Below are 25,487 nucleotides of genomic sequence, written 5' to 3'. Positions count from 1 at the left end.
AGCGGATGCGCCGGGCGGTGGGGCCGCTCCTGCCGGCTACCTGCGCAAGCGCAGAGGGCTCTTCCGGCGCCTTCCCAGGCGGGGATGCTGCGGCTCCGCAGCGGGCTGAGGCACCTTCGGGCAACACCCAATACTCGGGGCTCCGCTCGGCTTCTTTGCGCCGAGATGCCTAAGAAGGCTGGTGCGACGACCAAGGCCAGTAGCAGGTCCCGTGGCGGCAGAGGGGTGGGCCTCAGGGGTACTTGTTGAAGAGCGCGGGAGAAGCGGGGCCCGGGAGTGAGTGGAGGCACTGCCAGCGGCTTGCCGTCTCTCAGTTCCGGGGCTCAGGACAGCCGCCGCCACCCCCAGAGCTGCGGCCTGCTGCCGTCGCCCCGCCTCAGTAGGCTGCGCTGCCGTCCACCTGGTGATTTCTGAGCGCTGGGCCCGGCGGCAGCCGAGCTCTCCTTGGGCTGCGTGTGCTGACCTTTGGCCTCCTACCCGCACTCCCAGTCCAGCAATTCATGTTCCCGCAGCGGCATGACCTGCGTTTCCCCAGGAGGCTGTATTCTGCTTTCTCCTCCCTTGCTTTGGCTGATCGCACCCCTTCTGTCAAGAATACAGCACTCCCATTTCCACCATCTTTGTTTGGCCAACCCCAGTCCGTTTCTCAGACTCAGCTCAAGCACTGCCTCCTGCTGGCAGCATTCTCCAGTGCCCCAATGCTGATTTGCCTGTGGGGTAATGTTCTGTGCCTATCTCATCGGTGCACTTAGCACAGTGTATTATAATTTTGTATGTTCTTTCTCCCTCGCAGCAGTCCGAGCTCCTTGAGAGCAAGGACCATGTACCTTTTCATCTTTACATATCCATTGCCTACATATTTGTTGAACGAAAGTTCCTAGCACAGCCCCTGTCCCATAACAGGCCTTTAAATATCAAGCACTATTTTTTTTTCCTCCCTTTCCCGCAACATGCAGACATACACACTTTCACCAACATTTATTAGCTCCGACTGCATGAGATACAATGATGAATAATAAATGATCCCTGCCCCCAAGGAATTGGAAATACAAAGCAGAGGGAGGAGCAAGCATTAAGGTTTAGAAGCCAGAGTTAGGTTTTCTTGCAAGGGGGGAAAAAACACTGTTGGGTTGATGGGAACCCTTCGTGGGAAAATTGAGTAGAGCCTTGAAGGTTGTGGGAAAAGCTTTCTAGGTGGCCAGAAGTCCCTGGACACCACTGATGAGCCTAGTTTGTCTGTTAAGGGTGAAAGGGGGTAGTGGAAGAATCAAATTAAATGTGTGGGAAAATATTTTGTAACCTGTAAAGTTGTGTGGTTGTCATTTTAGGGTAAAAGCCAGAGCAAGGAACCAGAGAGACCACTTCCTCCCTTAGGTCCTGTGGCAGTTGATCCTAAAGGATGCGTCACCATAGCCATCCATGCAAAACCTGGCTCCAAACAAAATGCTGTAACAGGTATACCTGGACACTGGGGTGGGATTCAAGTGTGAATCAGGTGTCTCCTACAGCCCTCCTTTGCTTTGGTTAGCTGAAAGCTTATTCTATGACAGTTGATTTTTCACATCTGCAGTTAGAGGCTTCTCCATTTTAAAATTCTAGATTCTAATGTAAAGGTGTCTTAAAGTGAATATATCTTTAAATCATGCCAAGTTACACGAAAACCATTGTATATTTTCCTCTTTAAAAATACAGTATTTTAGAAAGGACAGTTATGGAAACTTGTGTGTAGTCTGGATTATTCTTAGTTTGTCCTGTTCCAAAACTGGAGACATTGGCCAGAGAAAGAAGAGACATTTTAGTGTAGTTTAATGATCACTGGCCTAAGGAGAGGGAGAAAACTTGAGATCTGAGACCCGTGATCAGTTCCTGTGCGAATTTGTTTTAAATCAAAACAGTATAAAACATTCATGGGTCCAGTTTTTTCATCTGTCAGATGAGATCGTTGGACTAAGTTAGAGGCTTTCAGGCTATTCTCTGGAGTGCTGGAGGTGCCTCAGGAATCAGCTTTGGGCAAGGAGGAGGCCAGGCAGACAGGGCTCCTGACTAGCTCTGTTTACATTTGTTTTACATATTGGGATTCTGGAGAAAATTGGGGGAAGGGATTCTAAAGGAAAAAAAGTTCAAAAACCATTGCTCTAAATTCTTTTGAAGGTCTTTTTCACCTCTAAAGCTCTGTATTTCAAACCATTTTTAGATTTTGAAAGGAAAACCACAACATTGACGTGCTAGACCTGGTTTATGCTGATGACCAAGTTAACTTAGCCATACCCTCCTTGGCCAGCATTTTCTAAGTAGTGGGTGTGGACACTGTCTACGTTGGAGTATTATGTTTCATTAGATCTAAAATGGGAGGCTGGATGCCATGGCTCATTTGTAAAATGGAGATAATAATGGTACTAATATCTTCATAAAGTTATTATAAGGATTAAAGAAGTTAGTATTTGTAAAGCCTTTAACACATTTGTGTGTGCTTAAAATTGGTGTATAGTAAGTGCTCTGTAAATATTTGTTAAGTAAACATTATTAAATTTTAAAAACACTCAAGATATGTGTCACATAAGAGGTGAACCTAGTCCGGGGCTCTCATTTTCCTGTTGAGGAAACCCTGCACAACCTTGTACAATCTAGTAAGCTGCCCTGTCCATACACTTCTTCAGTGACATTGATGAGGCTGAAGGCCATCTATGACTCCCTGCCTGGGGCTCTTCACATACCAAGGGCAATTTCCAGTTGCCTAAATCCAGGATATTCCCCAGGGCTCTGTAAGCCCATCTTGGTCGGCAAGATTGGGTCAATAACTTTTCTTCTCTGGATTTATTTCCTGTAATGGTAGGGCCATTTTTATCATGTTCATGTTCCTTAAATGTGATTAGTTTAATCATTCATTTCTTCATTCAACAGTTTTTAATTGAAAATCTGTGTGCCAGGCAAATGCAAAAACTCTTTTACAAAATGTCCTTGCTTCATGAAGAAAAAGAACTCCTTAAGGATAAAGTCCACACTATTTTCATTCCAGATTTGACAGCAGAGGCTGTAAATGTAGCTATTGCAGCACCTCCATCAGAGGGAGAGGCTAATGCTGAGCTCTGTCGGTATCTTTCCAAGGTCCTAGAACTCAGGAAGAGTGATGTGGTTTTGGATAAGGTAGGTCTCGCTCTCTTTTTTTTTTTTTTGAGACAAAATCTTGCTCTGTCGCCCAAGCTGGAGTGCAGTGGCGTAGTCTTGGCTCACTGCAACCTCCACCTCCTGGGTTCAAGCTATTCTCCTGCCTCAGCTTCCTGAGTAGCTGGGATTATAGGCGCATGCCACCATGCCTGGCTAATTTTTGTATTTTTAATAGAGACGGAGTTTCACCATGTTGGTCAGGCTGGTCTTGAACTCCTGACCTCAAATGATCCACCTGCCTTCTCCTCCCGAAGCGCTGGGATTAGAGGTATGAGCCACCATGCCCGGAGGTCTCTCTCTTTTTAAACTTCTTTAATTATTTTCTTTTTTTTTTTGAGACGGAGTCTCGCTCTGTTGTCCAGCCTGGAGTGCAGTGGTGCAATCTTGACGCACTGCTACCTCTCACTCCTGGATTCAAGCGATTCTCCTGCCTCAGCCTCCTGAGTAGTTGGGATTACAGGCACCCACCACCAGGCCCACCTAATTTTTGTATTTGTAGTAGAGACAGGGTTTCACCATGTTGGACAGGCTGGTCTTGAACGCCTGACCTCAGGTGATTCACCCACCCCGGCCTCCCAAAGTGCTGGGATTACAGGCGTGAGCCACTGCGCCTGGCCTTATTTTATTTCTTTTTTGAGATGGAGTCTTGCTCTGTTGCCCAGGCTGGAATGCAGTGGCGTGATCTTGGCTCACTGCAACCTCTGCCTCCCAGGTTCAAGTGATTCTTCAGCCTCAGGCCTCCCAAGTAGCTGGGATTACAGGTGCCCACCACCACACCCAGCTAATTTTTGTATTTTTAGTAGAGACGGGGTTTCATCATGTTGGCCAGGCTGGTCTTGAACTCCTGACCTCAACTGATCTGCCCACCTCAGCCTCCCAAAGTGCTGGGATTACAAACGTGAACCACCATGCCCAGCCATGTTTGATTATTACATATTAATGATGATTCATAAAATACTGATTTTTCTTTGTCTTTTTCAAATAATTGGGAAACTAGTTGTTTATAACTTTTATATTTACTTAATTGCATAAATCTGTCAATTCTTCCTATTTAGTCTCCTTCATGCCTGCTGCCTTAATCCTTACTGAGACTATCCACACTGTGTGCCTATGCTTCTTCACTGCCGCTGTTGCCAGTGTTTTCTCCTTTCTGAATTCATTCCTGAACCTGCTGTCAGATTAATCTTGCTTAGCTCTCTCATCCTTTAAGTCATCACCACGCTAAACAATCTAAAGCAATTCCTATTGTTAGTCATCTCCATGAGGGACTCCGTCAAGTACTTTGTCCTTGCTTGCTAGGAGAAGCTCATTGGGAAGATAGAAGGTTCATATGATGTCATTAATATGGTTTTGCACTAGGGGTGGAGATCAAAGTCACCTGGGAATGATTTCTAAATACAGATCCCTGGGTATCACTCTAGGCTTCTTGAAATAGAATCTGCAGGAGGGGGGCCCAGCCATGTTTATATTTCTTAAAGCTCTGCTTGTTTTCCAGTGCTATACTATATAGCTCCTATCCAGGTTCCAGCTGGCATTCACAGTCATTGATTAACAGACTGCACCTAAAAATCCATTTGAATGCTCCCCACCTGTGGCAGGTCATTTCTGATTTTTGGCTAGTGCTCATGCGCTGACGTTTGCCTGAAAGATGTTCCTCATTCTTCTGCCTGTTCAAATTCCACTCATCTAAATAAACCCCTTCTCAAATTTTATCTTCTTTAAAGGCTGTGTTTGAAAACAAATCCTTTCTTTTTCTTTTGGGACGGTGTTTTCGCTCTTGTTGCCCAGGCTAGGGTGCGATGGCGCAATCTCGGCTCACTGCAACATCCGCCCCGCGCCCCGCCCCTCCCCGGTTCAAGTGATTCTCCTGCTTCAGCCTCCCGAGTAGCTGGGATTGGAGGCGCGCGCCAACACGTCTGGCTAATTTTTAGTAGAGACAGGGTTTTGCCACATTGGCCAGGCTGGTCTCGAACTCCTGACCTCAGGTGATCCACCCGCCTCAGCCTCCCAGAGTGCTAGGATTACAGGTGTGAGCCACCACACCTGGCCAACAAATCCTTTTTAAAGTTTTAAGTGGTTGTGAAATCGTGGCACTTGGATATGTGGCTACTTTTTGTTTGGAATTTTCAGAAATGTTTAACAACATAGAGAATAGCAATTTGTTTATATTTATAATTATTTTACTACAAAGTTTATATAAAATTGCAATATTTATTTTGGTATTTTAAAGATGATTTTCATTTTTAACTTAATTGCTTGAGACTAGAATATCATTTTTTAGATTTTTTTTTTTTTTGAGATGGAGTCTTGCTCTGTTGCCCAGGCTGGAGTGCAGTGGCGCGATCTCAGCTCACTGCAGCCTCTGCCTCCTGGGTTCCAGCGATTTTCCTGCCTCAGTCTCCTGAGTAGCTGGGATTACAGGCACATGCCACCATGCCCGGCTAATTTTTTGTATTTTTAGTACAGACGGGGTTTCACCATGTTGGTCAGGCTGGTCTTGAACTCCTGACCTCGTGATCTACCCACCTTGGCCTCCTAAAGTGCTGGGATTACAGGCGTGAGCCACCGCGCCTGGCCCATTTTTGAGATTTTAATGTCCAGCTTTTATTATAGAAATTGATGTATGAAGGTAAAAACCCTGGAGAGTTGTTAGTACTAACAAATGTTTAGTAACAAATGGTAGTAAGGAAGAATCTAAGAGATAGTCTTTGGTTAGACCAGAAGTAACCAAGAGAAAGCCATCAGGAGAGCCCATTATACAACGGAGGTCTGCTATCTCTAATAGCATTAGAATGTGCTAAACAGTAAAGTATGCTTTTTCTCTTTTGGTCCAGGGTGGTAAATCTCGTGAAAAGGTGGTGAAGCTTTTGGCTTCTACAACTCCAGAAGAGATCTTGGAGAAATTAAAAAAGGAAGCCAAAAAAACATAAAAGCAAGAAATGAGGCCGGGCGCAGTGGCTCATGCCTGTAATCCCAGCACTTTGGGAGGCCGTGGTGGGCGGATCACCTGAGGTCAGGAGTTCGAGACCAGCCTGACCAACATGGTGAAACCCCATCTCTACGAAAAATACAAAATTAGCCAGATGTGATGGCGCATGCCTGTAATCCCAGTTACTCAGGAGGCTGAGGCAGGAGAATCACTTGAACCTGGGGGGCGGAGGTTGCAGTAAGCCGAGATCGCGCCGTTGCACTCCAGCCTGGGCAACAAGAGTGAAACTCTCTCCCCCCGAAAAAAAAGAAATAAAAAATACATCCTTGAGAAACTTTTTTATTGCTAATGGTGAAGAGGCTGTTAAATAGAAAAATATACTACATGCACAGAAGAACATGGGGGACATATATATATGTATATATTCGAATAAGACTCCAAAAAGTAGAAATTTAAAAAGTGCTATACATTGCATCAGGTTCTAAAATCCCAAACCCCAAACAGCCTGGAACATGTTACTCTGATTTCATGGCGTTGTAAAATAACAGAGCTGGGAAGAATATTCAAGATGACCTGATTTAACACCTTTCATTCTGTTGGGGGGCCTTTGATTTCCTATATCCAGAAGTTGAGAGACTTACTCAAGATTGTACCATGCAAGCTGGCAACTAGAACCCAAATCCTTGGACTACTTGTTGAATGCAGTTTTTCTAGATTGTAAATTAAAAATCATATCTCCACAACGGTTCTGGAATTCTGGGGATTGCCTTCTAATCCAGTTTACAAGTGACAGAAAACCTGTTATGCTGCTTTGTAGTCTTACCTTAGATTTTTAAATGCTTATTTAAATGTAAAAAAAATTTTTTTTTTACATCTTTTAAAGACTATATTTACCATTTTGTTGAAAAAGTAAAGAAAAATCATGACTTGTAATTAAATGTGAATTATAATTTTTGAGAAGTCACTGAATTTTCATCTTCCTCTAATAACTTAAATAATCAGCAAATTCAGTAGTTTTTATGAATCTCCAAAGATCCTTAAAAGAAGAAAGAGGACTTGGAAGCTATTTTCAGTATTTGTAAAAGCTTGTCAGAAATTACATCTATATTAAAGTTTCAAAAGCTAATAATATATTTTTACATCTTCAGGTCAAGTTATAGTAATTTATTAAAGAAAATAAAATTAATTTCCTTTGCTGATCAGGAGAGCTGATCTGCAGTTGTGCGCTTTGTCCAGCAAGTACATGAGAAAGATGTATTGATGGACCAAATCATTAAAAACAAAATCCACAAGGAAGAACAATAATAAAAATTGCTGATGGTAGCTGGGCTTGGTGGCTCACGCCTGTAATCCCAGCGCTTTGGAAGGTTGAGGCAGGAGGAACACTTGAGCCCAGGAGTTTGAGACCAGCCTGGGCAACGAAGTGAGACCCTGTATCTGTCTCTGTCTCTTTCTTTATAGATAGATAGATATACATAGATAGATTTTATACATAGATATATATATTTATATGTAAGATTATATATAAGACCTCATATATAAGAAGTCCAGGCCGGGTGTGGTGGCTCATGCCTGTAATCCCAGCACTTTGGGAGGTCGAGGCGGGTGGATCACCTGAGGTTAGGAGTTTGAGACCAGCCCGGCCAACATAGTAAAACCCCATCTCTACTAAAAATATAAAAACTAGCCAGGCATGGTGGTGGGTGCCTGTAATCTCAGCTACTCGGGAGGCTGAGGCAGGAGAATTGCTTGAACCCAGGAGACGGAAGTTGCAGTGAGCCCACACGGTGCCACTGCACTCCAGCCTCGGCGACAAGAGTGAGACTCCGTCTCAAAAAGAAAGAAAAAATCCCAGACAGTGAAAGAGAAGCTACTCGTCTAGTACAACTCTTAACTTGTACCAAATAGGTATCAAGGGCAAGAAAAGGTGGCTTATGTGAGATCACAGTGCACATTAATGGCAGAGCTTGGTTTAAGCCCAGCTGCTTTGTCTTCTAAACTGTGCCATATACTGCCTGCAAATGTGCTTCTGTTTTACATGGTCTTAAGAGCTTTTCCCACTCTTTCTCAAGACCATTGCCATGTGTGCTGTAAAGCCGTTTTACTTGTGGATTTTACATGGATCACTGTTAGAATGTCATAAAATGATATCATAAAAGATCAACTTTCCTGGCCGGGCATGGTAGCTCACACCTGTAATCCCAGCACTTTGGGAGGCCAAGGCAGGTGGATCACCTGAGGTCGGGAATTCGAGACCAGCCTGACCAACATGGAGAAACCCCATCTCTACTAAAAATACAAAAAATTAGCTGGGCGTGGTGGCACATGCCTGTAATTGCAGCTACTCGGGAGGCTGAGGTAGGAGAATCGCTTGAACCCGGGAGTTGGAGGTTGCGGTGAGCTGAGATCGTGCCATTGCACTCTAGCCTGGGCAAAAGGAGCGAAACTCCATCTCAAAAAAAAAAAAAAAAAAAAAGGATCAACTTTTGGTCAGGCGTGTTGGCTTACGCCTGTAATTCCAGCGCTTTGGGAGGCCGAGGCAGGCAGATCACGAGGTCAGGAGTTCAAGATCACCCTGGCCAACATGGTGAAACCCCGTCTCTACTAAAAATACAAAAGTTACCTGGGCATAGTGGCAGATGCTTGTAATCCCAGCTACTCGGGAGGCTGAGGCAGGAGAATTGCTTGTGAACCGGGACCCTGGAGGCAGAGGTTGCAGTGAGCCAAGATCGCACAACTGCGAACTGCGCTCCAGCGTGGGCTGCAGAGGCAGACTCCGTCTCAAGAAAAAAAAAAATCAGCTTTCTTTCCTTCCCCTGAATCTTCTGCAGTGCCAGTTTCATCCTCAGGCCCACTTGTTTCATGTAGACAAAAGGCCAACCAGGTTTCATATTCACGTATCAACCCCTGCAGTAGGAGAAAAGGCCACTCCTAGGAGCTCTGGTATTTTCCAGAAGCTTTCAGTCAGCCTTCCCTTGTATCAGCCCAAATCAAGTCACATGAAATTTCTAAGCCAGCCCCTGTGATCAGGGAATGCCATTCTATAACACAAGTTCCCTAAAGCAGTAACTATAGAAGAAAGAATTACCCTAATTGTTTCAGGCCAATTAAGGCCCATCCTAGAGGTGGAAATGGGGTCAGCATACTCAGAAGCAAAGAAGTAGAGAGAGTTGGATACCTGAATAAAATTGGGAAAAGTTACAAAGAGAGGAATGGATGCTGGAGAGGAACCACCAGTTTCTACTACGATAACCTATTTACTTCATTTTAAACGGTGATATTTTAAACGTGGGAACATTTTGCCTAGTGAGTTTTTTTCTTTGAGAAACGTAGCAGTATCTTGTAACAAAGAAGATATGGGGACACTCTGTCATCAAAAACTACTTTGGGGCCGGGCATGGTGGCTCACACCTGTAATCCCAGCACTTTGGGAGGCCAAGGTGGGTGGATCACCTGAGGTCAGGAGTTCAAGACCAGCCTGGCCACCATGGTGAAACCCCACCTCTACTAAAAATTACAAAAATTAGCTGGGCGTGGTGGTACATGACTGTAATCTCAGCTACTTGGGAGGCTGAAGCAGGAGAATTGCTTGAACCCGGGAATCAGAAGCTGCAGTGAGCCGGGATCACACCACTGCACTCCAGCCTGGGTGACAGAGCAAGGCTCTGTCTCAATAACAACAACAAAAAAACAGAAACAAACAAAACAAAACAAACTACTGTTGGAGGTAGGAACTGGCCCAGGGGCTGTATTCCCAGAACACGATTCCCTTTTCCCCACTGCAAACAAGATAGTCTACAGCAGCCTCACAACTTAATTGTCTCACACAGGACTATTCCTACTGTTAAGAGATCACAGCTAAGGCTTGGGCACCTTGACCTGCTGTAGAAGCTCAGTTAATGTACTTTTCATCATCTGGGCCCTGGTATTCCCCTGTAAATACTGAAGTAGACCCAGTGACCTAGTGCCCAAGACACAAAATATTCAGCCTCCGTAACATTTGTCTAATGACATGGTTCTAGCTTTGCTCACTCCCATTAATTTCAAGTGAGTACTGGCTAGGCAGTCTATAGTGACTTGATTACACTGTCTTTCTTGTCCTGTGCTGTCCTGAGAATCCTGGATTTGAAGCAGCCTATGAATAAGGTTTGAAAAATATTTATCCAACTATGCCGACATATGATGTTCTAGCACTGCATCTGTCATCTATCACCCGCACCTTAATAAATGATAATTACTTGTGCAAACATGATGTATTAATCACTTATTAACTTGGTTGCTTACTTGACAGACACTGCTAGGTGGTTTGCCTATGCTGTACTTCGACAGATCCTGGGAAAGAACAGCCTGGCTCATTATGCCCTGGAGGCAGGAGCAGAGATTTCAGACTTCTGATTTCTGTGAGCCATTCCACACTTTCCTCTCGGTTAGGGGAGGGACAGCAATAACCAGAGGATGAAGGTGGAACCTTTGCAGTGCACACCTAGGCCAGTGCAGTGGCTTATGCCTGTAATCCCAGCACTTTGGGAGGCTGAGGCGGGTGGATCACTTGAAGTCAGGAGTTTAAGACCAGCCTGACCAATATGGCGAAACCCTGTTTCTACTACAAATACAAATATTCGCTGGGCATGGCAATGCATGCCTGTAGTCCCAGCTACTTGGGAGGCTGAGGCCTGAGAATTGCTTGAACCCAGGAGGCAGAGGTTGCAGTGAGCCAAGATCATGCCACTGCATTCCAGCCTGGGCGACAGAGATTCCATCTTGAAAAATAAAGTTCCAAATACCTAAATGCTCAAACTTTAGGAGGCAGCTCTCTGGGCTGTGGGCTGTCAGCATCCCCCTCCTAGATTCCAGGGATTTGGTTACATAGTTCTTTAGCTGTAATGCAGAGTATAAATTTTAGAACCCACATGGCCCCAAATTCAAATTGTTTTAATGCATGTAACTAGTGACTAAAAACTTAGAATTTCAATTTACATCCAAGAGGTGGCACCATAACACAACAGCAAAAAGCCACACAAACTGAAACTCGTTTCCTTTTGTAGTGAACAGCACTATTAGGTAGTCTGCAGTGCCTGACTACGGGCTCACATGCTGTGATCCTTCTCGTTTTCTCAGAGCCATTCCTTAAGCTTAGTCCCCTTGTATCTTAAATTTAGCTCAGGTCGGAGTGTTGTTAACTTGGGGCCAGCTGGGTTCGTGAGAGTCTCAGCCCATTGCCATGGTGGAGTCAGCATGGTCTTGAGTTCCTTCCTTAACTCTGCAGGTTTCAGAAATCCACGTAGCCAGTGTTTCTGAAAATGGATCTAGGCTGGGCAATTGGCAAGGAGCTAATTTCTTATCAAGATGCCAGCTTATTAACTTGAGTGAAGAACACAACTGCCAAATAGACTGTATAGTGGGATCTGCTAGTGAGAACATTCTGTCCCTTTGGGAAATCTCTTTAAGAGAATCATCATTTGAAGGCTGCTTGGAGAGCCTGGAATCAGAGCCAGGGAAATTAGGGGCCAGGGTAAGGGAGCTATGACCATCTATAGCTCCCATTTCTGCTGCAGGGATGGACCTATGGTATCAGCCAGCCACAGAAGGTCTTTTGGGACAACACTGGAGATAATGATCCTTCATAGTACAGGAACTCCCTTTTTCTAGGTTGCAGGAAGACCACCTATTTCTACCCACATAGGCATTCCTCAGACAATCCTCATAATTTAGTTATTAAGGGTTTTTGCATTTTATAATCCTGTCTGCCTCAGGGTCCATCGGTCCCCTAGATAGAGTTTGGGGAGGGAAGAATCCCCAAACTTTGCAGCCACAAGTTACGTACTCCCTGGTCATTTCTACAGAAAACTAATCTGTGATGTGTTTTTACTATCGCAGTGACGTTCAAACTGTTTCAAAGCCTTAGGTTTCCCCAGAGATGCCTAGGGGGATTGGGGCACTGTGGACAATAAGGGAGTGAGTCAAGTCAACAGAAATGCTAGCTAGCCTTTAGTTCTCTTCTACAGCCGTACTGGGTGGCATGTACACGTGATAGCTGCTCACACCACATGTGGCTATTGAGCACTTGAAATGTGGCTAACATAATTTAAAAGTAAAAGGTAAGGCTGGCCATGTTGGCTCACGCTTGTAATCCCAGCACTTTGGGAAGCTGAGGTAGGAGGATAGTTTGTGGCCAGGAGTTTGAGACCAGCTTGGGCGACGTGGTAAGACCCCATTTCTCCAAAAAAAATTAAAAAAATTAACTAGGCATGGTGGTGTGTGCCTGTAGTCTCAGCTACTTGCGAGGCTGAGGCAGGAGGATCACTTGAGCTCAGGAGTTCGACGTAGTGAGCCATGATTGCGCCACTGCACTCCAGCTTGGGTGAGAGGGCAAGACGCTGTCTCAAATAAATAAAAATGAGCCCCCTCCCCCTCCCCCTCCCCCTCTCCCTCACCCTCTCCCTCTCCCCACGGTCTCCCTCTGATGCCAAGCCAAAGCTGGACTGTACTGCTGCCATCTCGGCTCACTGCAACCTCCCTGCCTGATTCTCCTGCCTCAGCCTGCCCAGTGCCTGTGATTGCAGGCGCGCGCCGCCACGCCTGACTGGTTTTGGTGGAGACGGGGTTTCGCTGTGTTGGCCGGGCCGGTCTCCAGCCCCTAACCACGAGTGATCCGCCAACCTCGGCCTCCCGAGGTGCCGGGATTGCAGACGGAGTCTCGTTCACTCAGTGCTCAATGGTGCCCAGGCTGGAGTGCAGTGGCGTGATCTCGGCTCACTACAACCTACACCTCCCAGCCGCCTGCCTTGGCCTCCCAAAGTGCCGAGATTGCAGCCTCTGCCCGGCCGCCACCCCGTCTGGGAAGTGAGGAGTGTCTCTGCCTGGCCGCCCATCGTCTGGGATGTGAGGAGCCCCTCTGCCTGGCTGCCCAGTCTGGAAAGTGAGGAGCGTCTCCGCCCGGCCGCCATCCCATCTAGGAAGTGAGGAGCGCCTCTTCCCAGCCGCCATCACATCTAGGAAGTGAGGAGCGTCTCTGCCCGGCCGCCCATCATCTGAGATGTGGGGAGCGCCTCTGCCCCGCCGCCCCATCTGGGATGTGAGGAGCGCCTCTGCCCGGCCGAGACCCCGTCTGGGAGGTGAGGAGCGTCTCTGCCCGGCCGCCCCGTCTGAGAAGTGAGGAGACCCTCTGCCTGGCAACCACCCCGTCTGAGAAGTGAGGAGCCCCTCCGCCCGGCAGCTGCCCCATCTGAGAAGTGAGGAGCCTCTCCGCCCGGCAGCCACCCCATCTGGGAAGTGAGGAGCGTCTCCGCCCGGCAGCCACCCCGTCCGGGAGGGAGGTGGGGGGGGGTCAGTCCCCCGCCCGGCCAGCCACCCCATCCGGGAGGGAGGTGGGGGGGTCAGCCCCCCGCCTGGCCAGCCGTGCCGTCCGGGAGGGAGGTGGGGGGTCAGCCCCCCGCCCGGCCAGCCGCCCCGTCCGGGAGGTGAGGGGCGCCTCTGCCCGGCCGCCCCTACTGGGAAGTGAGGAGCCCCTCAGCCCGGCCAGCCACCCCGTCCGGGAGGGAGATGGGGGGTCAGCCGCCCCGTCCGGGAGGGAGGTGGGGGGGTCAGCCCCCCGCCTGGCCAGCCGCCCCGTCCGGGAGGGAGGTGGGGGGGTCAGCCCTCCGCCCGGCCAGCCGCCCCGTCTGGGAGGTGAGGGGCGCCTCTGCCCGGCCGCCCCTACTGGGAAGTGAGGAGCCCCTCTGCCCGGCCAGCCGCCCCGTCCGGGAGGGAGGTGGGGGGGGGTCAGCCCCCCTGCCCTGCCAGCCGCCCCGTCTGGGAGGTGAGGGGCGCCTCTGCCCGGCCGCCCCTACTGGGAAGTGAGGAGCCCCTCTGCCCGGCCACCACCCCGTCTGGGAGGTGTGCCCAACAGCTCATTGAGAACGGGCCAGGATGACAATGGCGGCTTTGTGGAATAGAAAGGCGGGAAAGGTGGGGAAAAGATTGAGAGATCGGATGGTTGCTGTGTCTGTGTGGAAAGAAGTAGACATGGGAGACTTTTCATTTTGTTCTGCACTAAGAAAAATTCCTCTGCCTTGGGATCCTGTTGATCTGTGACCTTGCCCCCAACCCTGTGCTCTCTGAAACATGCGCTGTGTCCACTCAGGGTTAAATGGATTAAGGGCGGTGCAAGATGTGCTTTGTTAAACAGATGCTTGAAGGCAGCATGCTCGTTAAGAGTCATCACCACTCCCTAATCTCAAGTAATCAGGGACACAAACACTGCGGAAGGCCGCAGGGTCCTCTGCCTAGGAAAACCAGAGACCTTTGTTCACTTGTTTATCTGCTGACCTTCCCTGCCAAATCCCCCTCTGTGAGAAACACCCAAGAATTATCAATAAAAAAATAAATTAAAAAAAAATAAAAATAAATAAATAAAAATGAAAAACAAAAGCATAATAGAAATAAAGACCATGTTGGAAACAGTGCAACAGAGAAGAGGCTGAAAACGGTATGAAATTTAGAAGGCAAGATAGAGAACAGTGAATAAAGACAGGAAAATAACAGCTATAGAAGTCAGTTAAAAATAATAATAATAATTATTATTATTATTATTATTATTTGAGACGAAGTTTCGCTCTTGTTGCCTAGGCTGGAGTGCAGTGGTTCAATCTTGGCTCACTGCAACCTCCGCCTCCCAGGTTCAAGCGATTCTCCTGCCTCAGCCTTCCAAGTAGCTGGGATTACAGGCCTGAGCCACCATGCCTGGCTAAATTTTTTTCTTGTTGTTGTATTTTTAGTAGAGACGGGGTTTCACCATGTTGGCCAGGCTGGTCTCAGACTCCTGACCTCAGGCGATCCATCCGCCTTGGCCTCCCAAATTACTGGGATTACAGGCGTGAACCACTGCATCCAGCCAAAATTATTCATTTTTGTATTGTTTCACTTTTTATATTTTTTATTTTATTTTATTATTTTATTTTATTTTAATTTTATTTTGAGACGGAGTCTCACTCTGTCACCCAGGCTGGAGTGCAGTGTCGCAGTCTCGGCCTACTGCAAGTTCTGCGTCCTGGGTTCACGCCATTCTCCTGCCTCAGCCTCCTGAGTAGCTGGGACTGCAGGTGCCCGCCACCACGCCCGGCTAATTTCTTTTTGTATTTTTAGTAGAGACGGGGTTTCACCGTGTTAGCCAGAATGGTCTCGATCTCCTGACCTCGTGATCCGCCTGCCTCGGCCTCCCAAAGTACTGGGATTACAGGCGTGAGCCACCGCGCCAGCTTTATTATTTTGTAAACACACAAGTTGAGGAAATTTTAAAATGAGAAAAATACACACACAAACAACAAAGCTCTAGCCATTAGCAATTAGAACAGCTTTATTTACCTAATTCAGACAAAGAGACTGGAGATTCTTTAGGGAGTTAAAGGCACGAGCAGTGGAAAAAAACCATGAGATCATCATCACATCATCCCCTGAAGCTGTCTCAGGAGGAGTCACTGAAACCCAGAGAAAATCTAACTGGTAATTAATACATAGGGCTCTCGTGTCCCTGAGGGAAAGGAGTGAAAACACCAACTGAATTAGCCCATACATGGGGCTGTCTGTGCCCTTTAGGGAGAGGAGTGAAAACAACTGAAATCAGCCCATCAGCCCATGAAGACACTGGTGAAAATTATGCGACTTGTCCTTCTTGCACCTAAGCAGCCCACAGATAACTCACTCTTATATACGAACCTGACTGACTGGGTAGCCATTATGTGCCTAGCTTAGTGCTGCATGCTTTATGCTCTCTCTTAATCCTGCAATGGGGCAGTCGAATCACATATTAGCTGTTTTTGTTGCCTGTTTGTTTTTGAGACGGAGTCTCGCTCGGTCACCCAGGCTGGAGTGCAGTGGTGCAATCTTGGCTCACTGCAACCTCCGCCTCCTGGGTTCAAGCGATTCTCCTGCCTCAGCCTCCGGAGTAGCTGGGATTACAGTCATGTACCACCACACCCAGCTAATTTTTGTATTTTTAGTAGAGATGGGGTTTTGCCATGTTGGCCAGGCTGGTCTGGAACTCCTGACCTCAGGTGATCCTTCCACCTTGGCCTCCCAAAGTGATGGGATTACAGGCGTGAGCCACCGTGCCTGGCCAGCTGTTCTGACTGAAGACTTGTCTTCTTCGTTAACCTGCTCCTCCTGTTTCATCCTGCAAATGTTTAAATCTGAGGGGTATTATCCACAGCTCATCTCCACTTTTCTAATCTGACAGCACTGATAATTGAATTCCTCAGAAGCAAGATGTTTCTCTGGCACCCAGAGGCCTCAGCAGTGTCACGACAGCTGAAGTGTCACTTATTCCTCATCCTGGGCACACCATGATGGAGTGCAGCCCCACTGATTGGGACCCATGCAGCCAGCCTGGCCCAGGGCCACTCTCTCTCCCAGAATGTGCACAAGTCAAGGGATCTCTACTTCCATCCTTATTTTCCTCAAAAGCTGGTGCCAGCAGTAATCAACCAGACTTCTAGAAAAGAGGAGATAATCTGCTCTCAAGGCTGCTGTGGGCTCCAGTGTTGTAATCTACTACTTGAATCTAGTTGTTTATTTCATTCTATAATAATTTAATACAGCAGATGTCAGGAGAAATCTTTGTTTAGATATTATGTCATATCTGGATATATCTGAATCCTGAATGATTAATCTAAATATTAACAATATTCACTTCTGCCAATGTCAAGAGTATTTTCTGCTACTGGGCTTAAATCAATTTTAAAATTTGAGAGTTTTAAAAGCATATCTTTCTGTGTTCATAAATAAACAGAACGAAGATTCTTTGAGTACCTTATATAATTTTTCACACAGAATTAACCAAAGCCTTATTTAATATTTCAAAATCCTCATTTATATATATTAAATATGTGTCTCTGGTTAAAATGCAAGATACTGAAAGAAAAATTCAAATAGGCATTTCAGTGAATAGTTTACATATAATATCTAATTTGTCTGACATTACAAAGTAAGTACTTTCACAACTAACATTTCCAGCTAACTAAAGTCCAATAATAATAGAGGCCACCTTAAACTGGGAGTATTTATTTCCTATATTGCCTAATTTAAAAAAAATCCTTTTCACTGTAGATTATTGTGCTAATTAGAAGAAGTCAACAGTCTACGGCATAGTTTTCCATACACAGCCAGATCTGTGTTTGGATTGAATGAATCAAATGAAATAGGAAGTCTAGGGAAATTTTTAAGGTATAAAAAATTGTATTTCGGTTTGGCTTGAACTTGTTTAAAATAAATAAAATTTTTAAAAAACATTATATTTAGGAAACAAGTAGAGTTCTTTTATGAGAGTTCAAAATTAGTGCTGTCAATAACCTGATTCAGGGTAAATGATTATTTCCTTCAATTTTAACATTCTAAACTTAAAGCTGACATTTTATTACCCTTAATTCTATTATAAAGTCCTACATTTTTCTTTAGGTGAATAAAATACAAGGGATAATTACCTATTTGTCTGTTGAGCATTATAAGGAAAGTGGCTTTGGAAACAAAAACCATGCTAGAAATCTCCCCAGATGTCTTTTTCCTATGTGGTTTCAAGAACCCCAAAACTATTCTCAGAGCAGTGACTCAAGTTTATTACATTCTGTATAACCCCAAGTCCACCTAGCACTCAAAAACAAAACACAAACAAAAAACTCTAAAAGTCCCCAGCATCCTGTTCTCAAAAGGACATTAATCTGATGTGTTCAGTAATTAACATTTGACATTCTAAATTCACTACTAATTTCCAAATGGCAAATGTTAGTAATTTTATTTTAATTTATGTATTTATTTATTTTTGAGATGGAGTCTTGCCCTGTCACTTAGGCTGGAGTGCAGTGGCACAATCTCGGCTCACTGTAACCTCCACCTCCCAGGTTCAAGCGATTCTCCAGCCTCAGCCTCCCTAGTAGCTGGGACTGCACCACCATGCTTGGCTAATTTTTGTATTTTTCATAGAGACGGGGTTTTTGCCATGTTGGCTAGGCTGGTCTCGAACTCCTGACCTCAGATGGTCCACCTCCTTGGCCACCCAAAGTGCTGAGATTACTAGCATGAGCCACTGAGCCTGGCCAAATGCTACTAATTTTAGCTCAACTTTTATACAAACCATCTTCCACATTTGAAGTGTTTATTTTCTGAATGAGATAACTTGCTTTCCTTTGCTAATTCACATATGAATTAACATAAGGAAACAATCACAAATCCTTAATTCTCAACGTCTTCTGCCCTACCTCATCTTCTGCCCGTTACTCTACATCCTTTATGTCAACACTACGCTTTACAATTTACCAAATACTTCCCTCCCGTTGATTCAACAAATGTTTATGCAGCACCTATTGTGTCCTACTAGGGATTTAATGGTCACAACTCTATATTCTCAAGTTCTTCCTTTGATTATTTATTTTTATAATTCTGTGAGGGTGGCAGGGTGGGTATTGTCCCCATTTTTACAGCTGAGCCAATAAGCTCAGTGTTTACATGATTTTCTCACGGTCACATATGTTTTAAGCACAGAACTGGAAGCTAGGATTCCTTATACCTAATGCCATATGTTATTACAACAGACTACTTGAAATTAATTCTATTTGACACTATTTTATTTGCTCTCACTCTTAAATTATCTTTAAGCTTTTTTTCATGTTATTTTCTGTCTTATGAAGCAGAAACTGTACCTTTTATTTCTTCCTGGTTTTAAGCAGATCAGGGGCAGGGGTACAGTCTGATAGTAACTGCTGTTAAAAAACAAAAACCATAACAACATAGATTATTCATGCAGCATGCAGAATTTACTCATGTTAAAAGGTTTCCTCCCATTTTTTCAAGCACGGCTGATACTCAGGACACAAGCAGCCTAGCTGTGTTGGGTGTTAAAACATTTAAATACTGTTGGAAAACCACCTCTCTTCTGAGCTTCCTGAGAAGTACTCCTCCAGCGCTGGCCTTGGACCCATACATCTCCCTTTGTGTCAACAGCTGGCACAGCACAGAATCCTGACCTAAAGCTACAGTCAGCTATACTGTCCCAACTACTGGTCAGTGCCTGTGCTTTCTCAGGAGATGATTTTATAAATCTTTTTTTTTTTCTTTGAGAGAGTTTCGCTCTTGTTGCCCAGGCTGGAGTGCAATGGCATGGTCTCAGGTCACTGCCACCTCCACCTCCCAGGTTCAAGTGATTCTCTTAACTCAGTCTCCCGAGTAACTGGGATTACAGGCATCCGCCACCATGCCTGGCTAATTTTCGTATTTTTAATAGAGACAGGATTTCACCATATTGGCCAGGCTGGTCTCGAACTCCTCACCTGGGGTGATCTGCCCATCTCAGCCCCCCAAAGTGCTGCGATTACAACTGTGAGCCACCGTGCCCAGCCTATAAATCATTACTTTTAAGAGACAGCATCTATCTAGCCCAAACTGGAGTACAGTGCCATGATCCTAGCTCACTGTAGTCTTGAACTCTTCCCGGACTCAAGGGAGCCTCCTGCCTCAGCCTCCTGAGTAGCTAGGACTACAGGCGTGCACCACCACACCCAGCTAATTTTAAAATTTTCTGTAGAGACAGGATCTTGCTACATTGCCCAGGCTGGCCTCGAACTCCTGGCTTCAAGTGATCTTCCCGCCTCGGCCTCCCAGAGTGCTGGGATAACAGGTGTGAGCCACCATACCCAACCAGGTGATATTTTTGATAACACTTCTGCTTTCAGAGAAGATTCTGGGGTGTAGTCAGGACATTACTATCTAGACTAAATATCTGTAGTATCAAATCCTATCTTTATATAACAGCACTGGCTTCTTGCCTACTGATGTAATTAGGGAGGTTACAGGGAAAACCCTTACTATTAAAATTGTATTTGCATCTTAGTGTGACTGCCCGACTTATTAGGTCATTTCCAATAAAACAGTTACCCGAGAGGATGGCTCTTCAGGAAGGGAGAATAAAAGGGAGAGGTAGATGGAGAGCATGAAGTACCTGGAGAAGTCAACCTCGAGGGCCTAGAGTGGGGTGCTAAGAGAGAAGGCATTAAAAATAGGTTTACGAAGATGCCCCCGTTTTTTTTATGAGATGAAGTCTTGCTCTGTTGCCCAGGCTGGAGTGCAGTGGCACGATCTTGGCTCACTGCAACTTCCGCCTCTGGGCTTCAAACAATTGTCCTGCCTCAGCCTCCCGAGTAGCTGGGATTACAGGCATGTGCCACCACACCCGGCTAATTTTTGTATTTTTAGTAGAGACGGGGTCTCATCATGTTGGTCAGGCTGGTCTCGAACTCCTGACCCCAAGTGATCCGCCCACAGCCTCCCAAAGTGCTGGGACTACAGGCATGAGCCACCATGCCTGGCTGGAAGACGCCTTTTTAAATATATATATTTTTTTGTCACTCTAATAAAGTCAGGAAGGTGCCTGTTAATTCCTTTGACCTATGTTGAAATTTGCACTCTTAATGTTACTGTTAAACCAAATAAGCCCTTTTCAACAGATATGAAGGACAGCATAAAAAAACCCAAAAATCTCATTTCACCATATTAATAAATGGGCTAACTGCCAGAACTTGGGAGTGAAGATGCTTAAATATTTTAAAATTTTTATTTGAATGAAATCATTGTAATAATCATTAAAGTGATTTGAAATAGAATGATCTCTGTGAAAGGAAGTTTATAGCATCACTATTTATAGGAGAGAAAGCAGCAGAGGTATGCATCTGGAAGTGAATATAACATTGTAAAATCAGCCCACATTAAATACCAAAAAAGTAAGAACCATCAAAATGCAGCATTATTTACAGGATTAAAAAGTGTGAACAGTACAGAGTTAAACTTTCTTATGTGTGAATTTTGACCTGCTATGTTGTTAGCAAAAAGCTTTAGTGTTTGTATAAAATGATGTGTACCCTTATCCCAACCACCACCAGATCAAGACACAAACTGACAATGATTCCTTCCTTATTTTACAGCTTTATTACTGATTTCCCTCTAAAAAGAGACTCAAGTGTGGAGCTGACTCATCTATAGATTAAGGAATCACAAAGTACCATAGTCACTTAACAAATGCAAAAAAAAAAAAAAGCAATTGTTTTACCTTTCAACTGCTGATGTTATGTACAATCTATCACAAAAAGCATAGCTGTGCATTCATGAGCTGATTATATCAACCTCTAGAATTTTAGAAACGAGCACATCTAAGCATATGGATACTCTCTTACCTTACAAAGTAAAAGCATTTTCTATTTTAAAATTTTTATTTCTGTGTAAAACAAAGAATTCCTAGAGGTCAAATAATATACCAAACTTAAAGCACTATTAAGTCATGAAACAAAGAAGATTCTGAGGTAGAAGTCAAGCAATATAATCCACAGTTTCAGGTATTCCCAGCAACCATCGCATTTCGCAAGTAAGATCTATTTTTTTTAAAGTCTCAACTTCCAAAAAATCAATAATCCATTCTGTAAAATCAGATGTAAAACTATGACCAACAGAAGACACCCAAACTTTTCTCATGGTAACAGAGTAAATGCTTTTACTAAAAGCTGCCAACATTTCTATCAGTAGTAACCGTAAGGAGGCCGCTGGTTGTAACCATAATGTCCATATTGCTGGGGATAGTAAGGTTCTTGTCTGTGTTGCGGGTAGTTGTTACCCCAGGATCGTCCATGCCACTGATTGGATCGATTGTCACTTGGCCACCCCCATCTGTTGTCCCTGCCTCTGAACTGTCTGTTGTCTTGCAACCTACAACAATAAAACAAAAAAGATCTTTAAACTTCCCTTGTTAAAAAAAACATATGACAAACCCATAGCAGTGCTTCTGGTTTCTCATTCTAATACACAATAAATAAGACTAAAAAACATTTTTCACAATAGAATGTTATAGTGCCAGTTATTCAAAACTTTCCTAAGATTGAAATCATTCTTCCAGTATTATACTAGGTACACTTTACAGAGACATAGGCAGACTATATAACCAATAGAATAGTTCCAAATTAAAGTGAAATCTATTCAATTGTACAAAAATGGTATGGTAATTTATTCCTTTGACTATTTTGAATTATTAAGTAAAAGTAACTTCCATTTGTAAACTTCTTCCTAAAGTAAAATCGAAACAATGTTTTCTTTATGGAATTGAACAAGCTGTAGAAAACTCTAGGTTTTTAAAGTAGATTTGCATTGAAAATATTAGTCTACAGAAAAAACATCTAAAAACAAAAAAACACACGCACTTGAACAGCAAGGAAAAAATACATGGTGCTGAAAAAATATTAAAGCAAATATTTATCAGAAATGATGTACCAGGTACTGTTATTAGGTACTAGGTATGCCATACCAAAAACACTGGTCCCTGCCCTCACTGGCCTTCCAGTCTAGCAGATTAAAGCTATCCTCTGCCAGATCAACTATCTGCATTTATTCTTTTGAATACACACCGATTGCCTCTGTTTCTTTGGTTCCCACCAGCTCTGCTATTCCATTCCTCAACAATTGGAGGAGACTCAGGAGGGCGTTTCAGGTATTCCTGATACTCCTTGTCATTTTCTGTGAATCTACTAGCAAACATCTCTTCAAACTTTGGAACAGCTTCGGCAGTGTCAGTCATTCTGAAAATCTGTACAATTTTAAAGACATTTCCATTAAAAAAAATTTAAAAATTAACACTCTCTCCAAATAATGAAAAACCAAGAAGTAAGCAATTTTTAGGCGGGGTATTCATGGAAGTCTTTGTGTGCTTTCAGACATGTCATATTTTAGATATTGAATTCAACATTTTTTTTTTTTTTTTGAGACAGGGTCTCTCACTTTGTCACCCAGGCTGGAGCACAGCGGCACAACCTCGGGTCACTGCAGCCTTGACTTCCCTGGCTCAAACAATCCTCCCACCTCAGCCTCCCAAGTTGCTGGAACTACAGGTGCATGCCACCCACACCCGGCTAATTTTCGTATTTTTTGAAGAGACGGGATCTCGCCATGTTGCCTAGGCTGGAAGTCTTGGGCTTCGGTGATCCTCCTGCCTTGGCTTCCCAAAGTGCTGGGATTACAGGCATGAGCCACTGTGCCTGGCCCGAATTATTTTTCTTACTTTATTAACTTCCAATAAAAGGTTTGGGACAAAAAGATGTGACAATGGAAGCTATTGTGATAACTTCTTCATTAGTCTGCCTTTCCTCCAAACATATGCAAATATTTGTAACATTTATACTACCTACTTTAACCCCAACAAAATTAAACGGAAATTATTGTTGCATTGCAAGAAACAATATGTAGATTTTTTCTTTTTCCTTTTCCCCCAGACGGAGTCTTGCTCTGTCACCCAGAGTTGGAGTGCAATGGCGCGATCTCAGCACACTGCAACCTCTGCCTCCCAGGTTCAAGCAATTCTCCTGCCTCAGCCTCCCAAGTAGCTGGGATTACAGGCACGCGCCACCACACCCAGCTAATTTTTGCATTTTTAGTAGAGATGGGGTTTTGTTGGCCAGGCGGGTCTTGAACTCCTGACCTCATAATCCGCCCGCTTTGGCCTCCCAAAGTCCTGGGATTACAGGTATGAGCCACTGCGCCCAGCCTTTTTTTTTTTTTTTTTTTGAGACGGAGTTTCACTCTTGTTGCCCAGGCTAGAGTGCAATGGCGCGATCTCGGCTCACTGCAATCTCTGCCTCTCGAATTCAAGTGATTCTCCTGTCTCTGCCTCCCGAATAGCTGGGATTACAGGTGCACGCCCGCTCGCTAATTTTTGTATTTTTAGTAGAGACAGGGTTTCATCATGTTGGCCAGGCTGATCTTGAACTCCTGACCTCAGGTGATCTGCCTGCCTCAGCCTCCCAAAGTACTGGGATAACAGGCATAAGCCACCGCGCCCAGCCTGACACTCTTATCTTTCAGGCTATTGCTCTTAGTATGCTTTATCAAATACCAAATATCAGACTTTCAATGTGTCTGGGATTGGCAAACTATATCAAATTCTCAAATCCAAGGAATGAGTTTTAAATAAATTCAGCTAATTAAAAATCATGTCTAGAATTCTAGTGGGATCACAGAAATCACTAAAAAGATGACCCATACCTAATCCAGATGGGCAGTAAAAATCATAAGGCAAGGAAAAGGTGCTACTCCATTTTTATGTTCTCATATGTTCTCCCACGACTCCCCACCCATACTCATGTAAACAAATATCAACTGTATTATTACTGAGAACGAAATTTAAATAGAATGTTAATCGACCCAAGCTTTACTTACCCCAAAGGTTTGAGGCAGCTGTACTGCTTAATGTTTAGGTTGTTTAAATCTGTGGGAGGAAAAAAACAAACTTGACTTTATTTAAGGAAACTCTCAAAAGGTGTTTGTAGGGGAGGGTGGCGCATAAGAGTCTTATTCAAGGAAAGAATTGGAGTAAAAGTGCTCTAAGGCCAGGCGCGGTGGCTCACCTCTGTAATCCCAACACTTTGGGAGGCCGAGGCGGGCAGATCACGAAGTCAAGAGATCGAGACCAGCCTGGCTAACACGGTGAAACCTCGTCTCTCCTAAAAATAGAAAAAATTAGCCAGGCGTGGTGGCATGTGCCTGTAGTCCCAGCTACTCGGGAGGCTGAGGCAGGAGAATCGCTTGAACTTGGGAGGCGGAGATCGCGCCACTGCACTCCAGCCTGGGCGACAGAGCGAGACTCCGTCTCAAAAAAAAAACAAAAAACAAACCAAAAAAACGCTCTAAAGACTTCCAAAGCTAATATTCCAAAGAGGGAACTGGTTCTCAAGAGCAAGAAGCTACAAGATTTGTCCTCTGGGCCTTCAAAAGCAAAATAGTTCAAGTATGAATACAAACTTCATAAAGTATGTATGTTCTTTTAGGGTAAGCCTTTCAGATTTGTACTTGAATACTGCTAATTTATTCACCACAAATAAAACCACAAAGAACTTTGGCTGCGGGCGACTAACCCTGGAAATAACCAACCAGAATGGGGTTTCGCTGCCCTGGGAGGTGAGCCCGGGGAACAGACGAAGATGCAGACTGAAAACAACTGCGTTTTCCAGTCCGTCCTCAAGGCACATCACAGCTTGCTTACCAAGGTTCTGGCAGATTTGCTCCCTTCCGAAGCACCTTATACCTCCAGAAGTGAGGGAAATTATGGGCCGTGAGAAGTAAACGGGCTTCGGTCTAGCAAAGAGTACAGATCACCGCACAGGGGGAGGACACCTCGCTGGCCACCCAGCTCGGCCGCCCCGCTCCCTCCTCCCGGGCGTCCGGGGCGACTCACCCGCCAAGGGCTATGTCAATCCAGCTCAGGCCGAACCCCGCCGGCGAGACACTGAGAAGCCCAGGAGAGGTGGCCTCTGGTCCACTACACCGTGGAACTCCAGACCACTCCAGTTCTCCAATGTAACCGAGCGCCTTCCTCTAAAATCCGACAACCACCTGACTT

The 25,487-nt window shown here is 44.9% G+C and overlaps 2 protein-coding genes across 8 annotated transcripts, besides 1 other annotated feature; one reads left to right on the top strand and one right to left on the bottom strand.

Moving 5' to 3' along the window:
* The first annotated feature begins 52 nt into the window (after positions 1-52).
* C15orf40 (chromosome 15 open reading frame 40) lies at positions 53-22,729 on the top strand. Of its 7 annotated transcripts, NM_001160115.2 has the most exons (5): positions 53-195; positions 1,329-1,455; positions 3,017-3,144; positions 19,646-19,760; positions 21,037-21,131. In NM_001160115.2, the coding sequence occupies exons 1-5, from the start codon at positions 85-87 to the stop codon at positions 21,057-21,059; spliced, it is 504 nt and encodes a 167-aa protein (NP_001153587.1). In that variant the 5' UTR covers positions 53-84; the 3' UTR covers positions 21,060-21,131. The 7 variants fall into 7 exon arrangements, 5 of the variants coding, with proteins under 5 accessions (NP_001153587.1, NP_001153588.1, NP_653198.2 ...); NR_027650.2 differs by lacking the exons at positions 19,646-19,760; positions 21,037-21,131 and adding an exon at positions 6,720-7,299 and having other exon boundaries at positions 53-206; NM_001160116.2 differs by lacking the exons at positions 19,646-19,760; positions 21,037-21,131 and adding an exon at positions 22,535-22,729.
* Positions 10,981-11,275: a silencer, noted in NCBI's record as "tiled region #12194; K562 Repressive DNase matched - State 5:Enh". NCBI's record gives its function as "represses a minimal TATA promoter and a strong SV40 promoter by Sharpr-MPRA in K562 cells {active_cell/tissue: K562}" and the evidence as "EXISTENCE:reporter gene assay evidence [ECO:0000049][PMID:27701403]".
* On the bottom strand, positions 20,635-25,482 carry RAMAC (RNA guanine-7 methyltransferase activating subunit). Its single transcript, NM_031452.4, has 4 exons — positions 25,323-25,482; positions 24,308-24,356; positions 22,504-22,682; positions 20,635-21,811 (listed from the first exon to the last, which is right to left on the bottom strand). Exons 3-4 carry the CDS (start codon positions 22,671-22,673, stop codon positions 21,625-21,627), a joined length of 357 nt encoding a protein of 118 aa, NP_113640.1. The 5' UTR covers positions 22,674-22,682; positions 24,308-24,356; positions 25,323-25,482; the 3' UTR covers positions 20,635-21,624.

Source organism: Homo sapiens, chromosome 15 (assembly GCF_000001405.40).
Source record: "Homo sapiens chromosome 15, GRCh38.p14 Primary Assembly".
NCBI classification, from domain to species: domain Eukaryota; kingdom Metazoa; phylum Chordata; class Mammalia; order Primates; family Hominidae; genus Homo; species Homo sapiens.
This window is presented reverse-complemented; position numbering and strand designations above follow the sequence as displayed.

What these genes read in the sequence shown, in the direction of transcription:
- C15orf40 (NM_001160115.2), top strand. Translation starts at nt 85, where the DNA reads ATGCTGCGGCTCCGCAGCGGGCTGAGGCACCTTCGGGCAACACCCAAT. An exon ending in AGGCTGGTGCGACGACCAAG is followed by an intron (nt 196 to 1,328) that starts GCCAGTAGCAGG and finishes TTGTCATTTTAG; the next exon opens with GGTAAAAGCCAGAGCAAGGA. An exon ending in GTGATGTGGTTTTGGATAAG is followed by an intron (nt 3,145 to 19,645) that starts GTAGGTCTCGCT and finishes TTTTCTGTAGAG; the next exon opens with ACAGGATCTTGCTACATTGC.
- RAMAC (NM_031452.4), bottom strand. Translation starts at nt 22,673, where the DNA reads ATGACTGACACTGCCGAAGCTGTTCCAAAGTTTGAAGAGATGTTTGCT. An exon ending in CAAAGAAACAGAGGCAATCG is followed by an intron (nt 21,812 to 22,503) that starts GTGTGTATTCAA and finishes TTATTGTTGTAG; the next exon opens with GTTGCAAGACAACAGACAGT.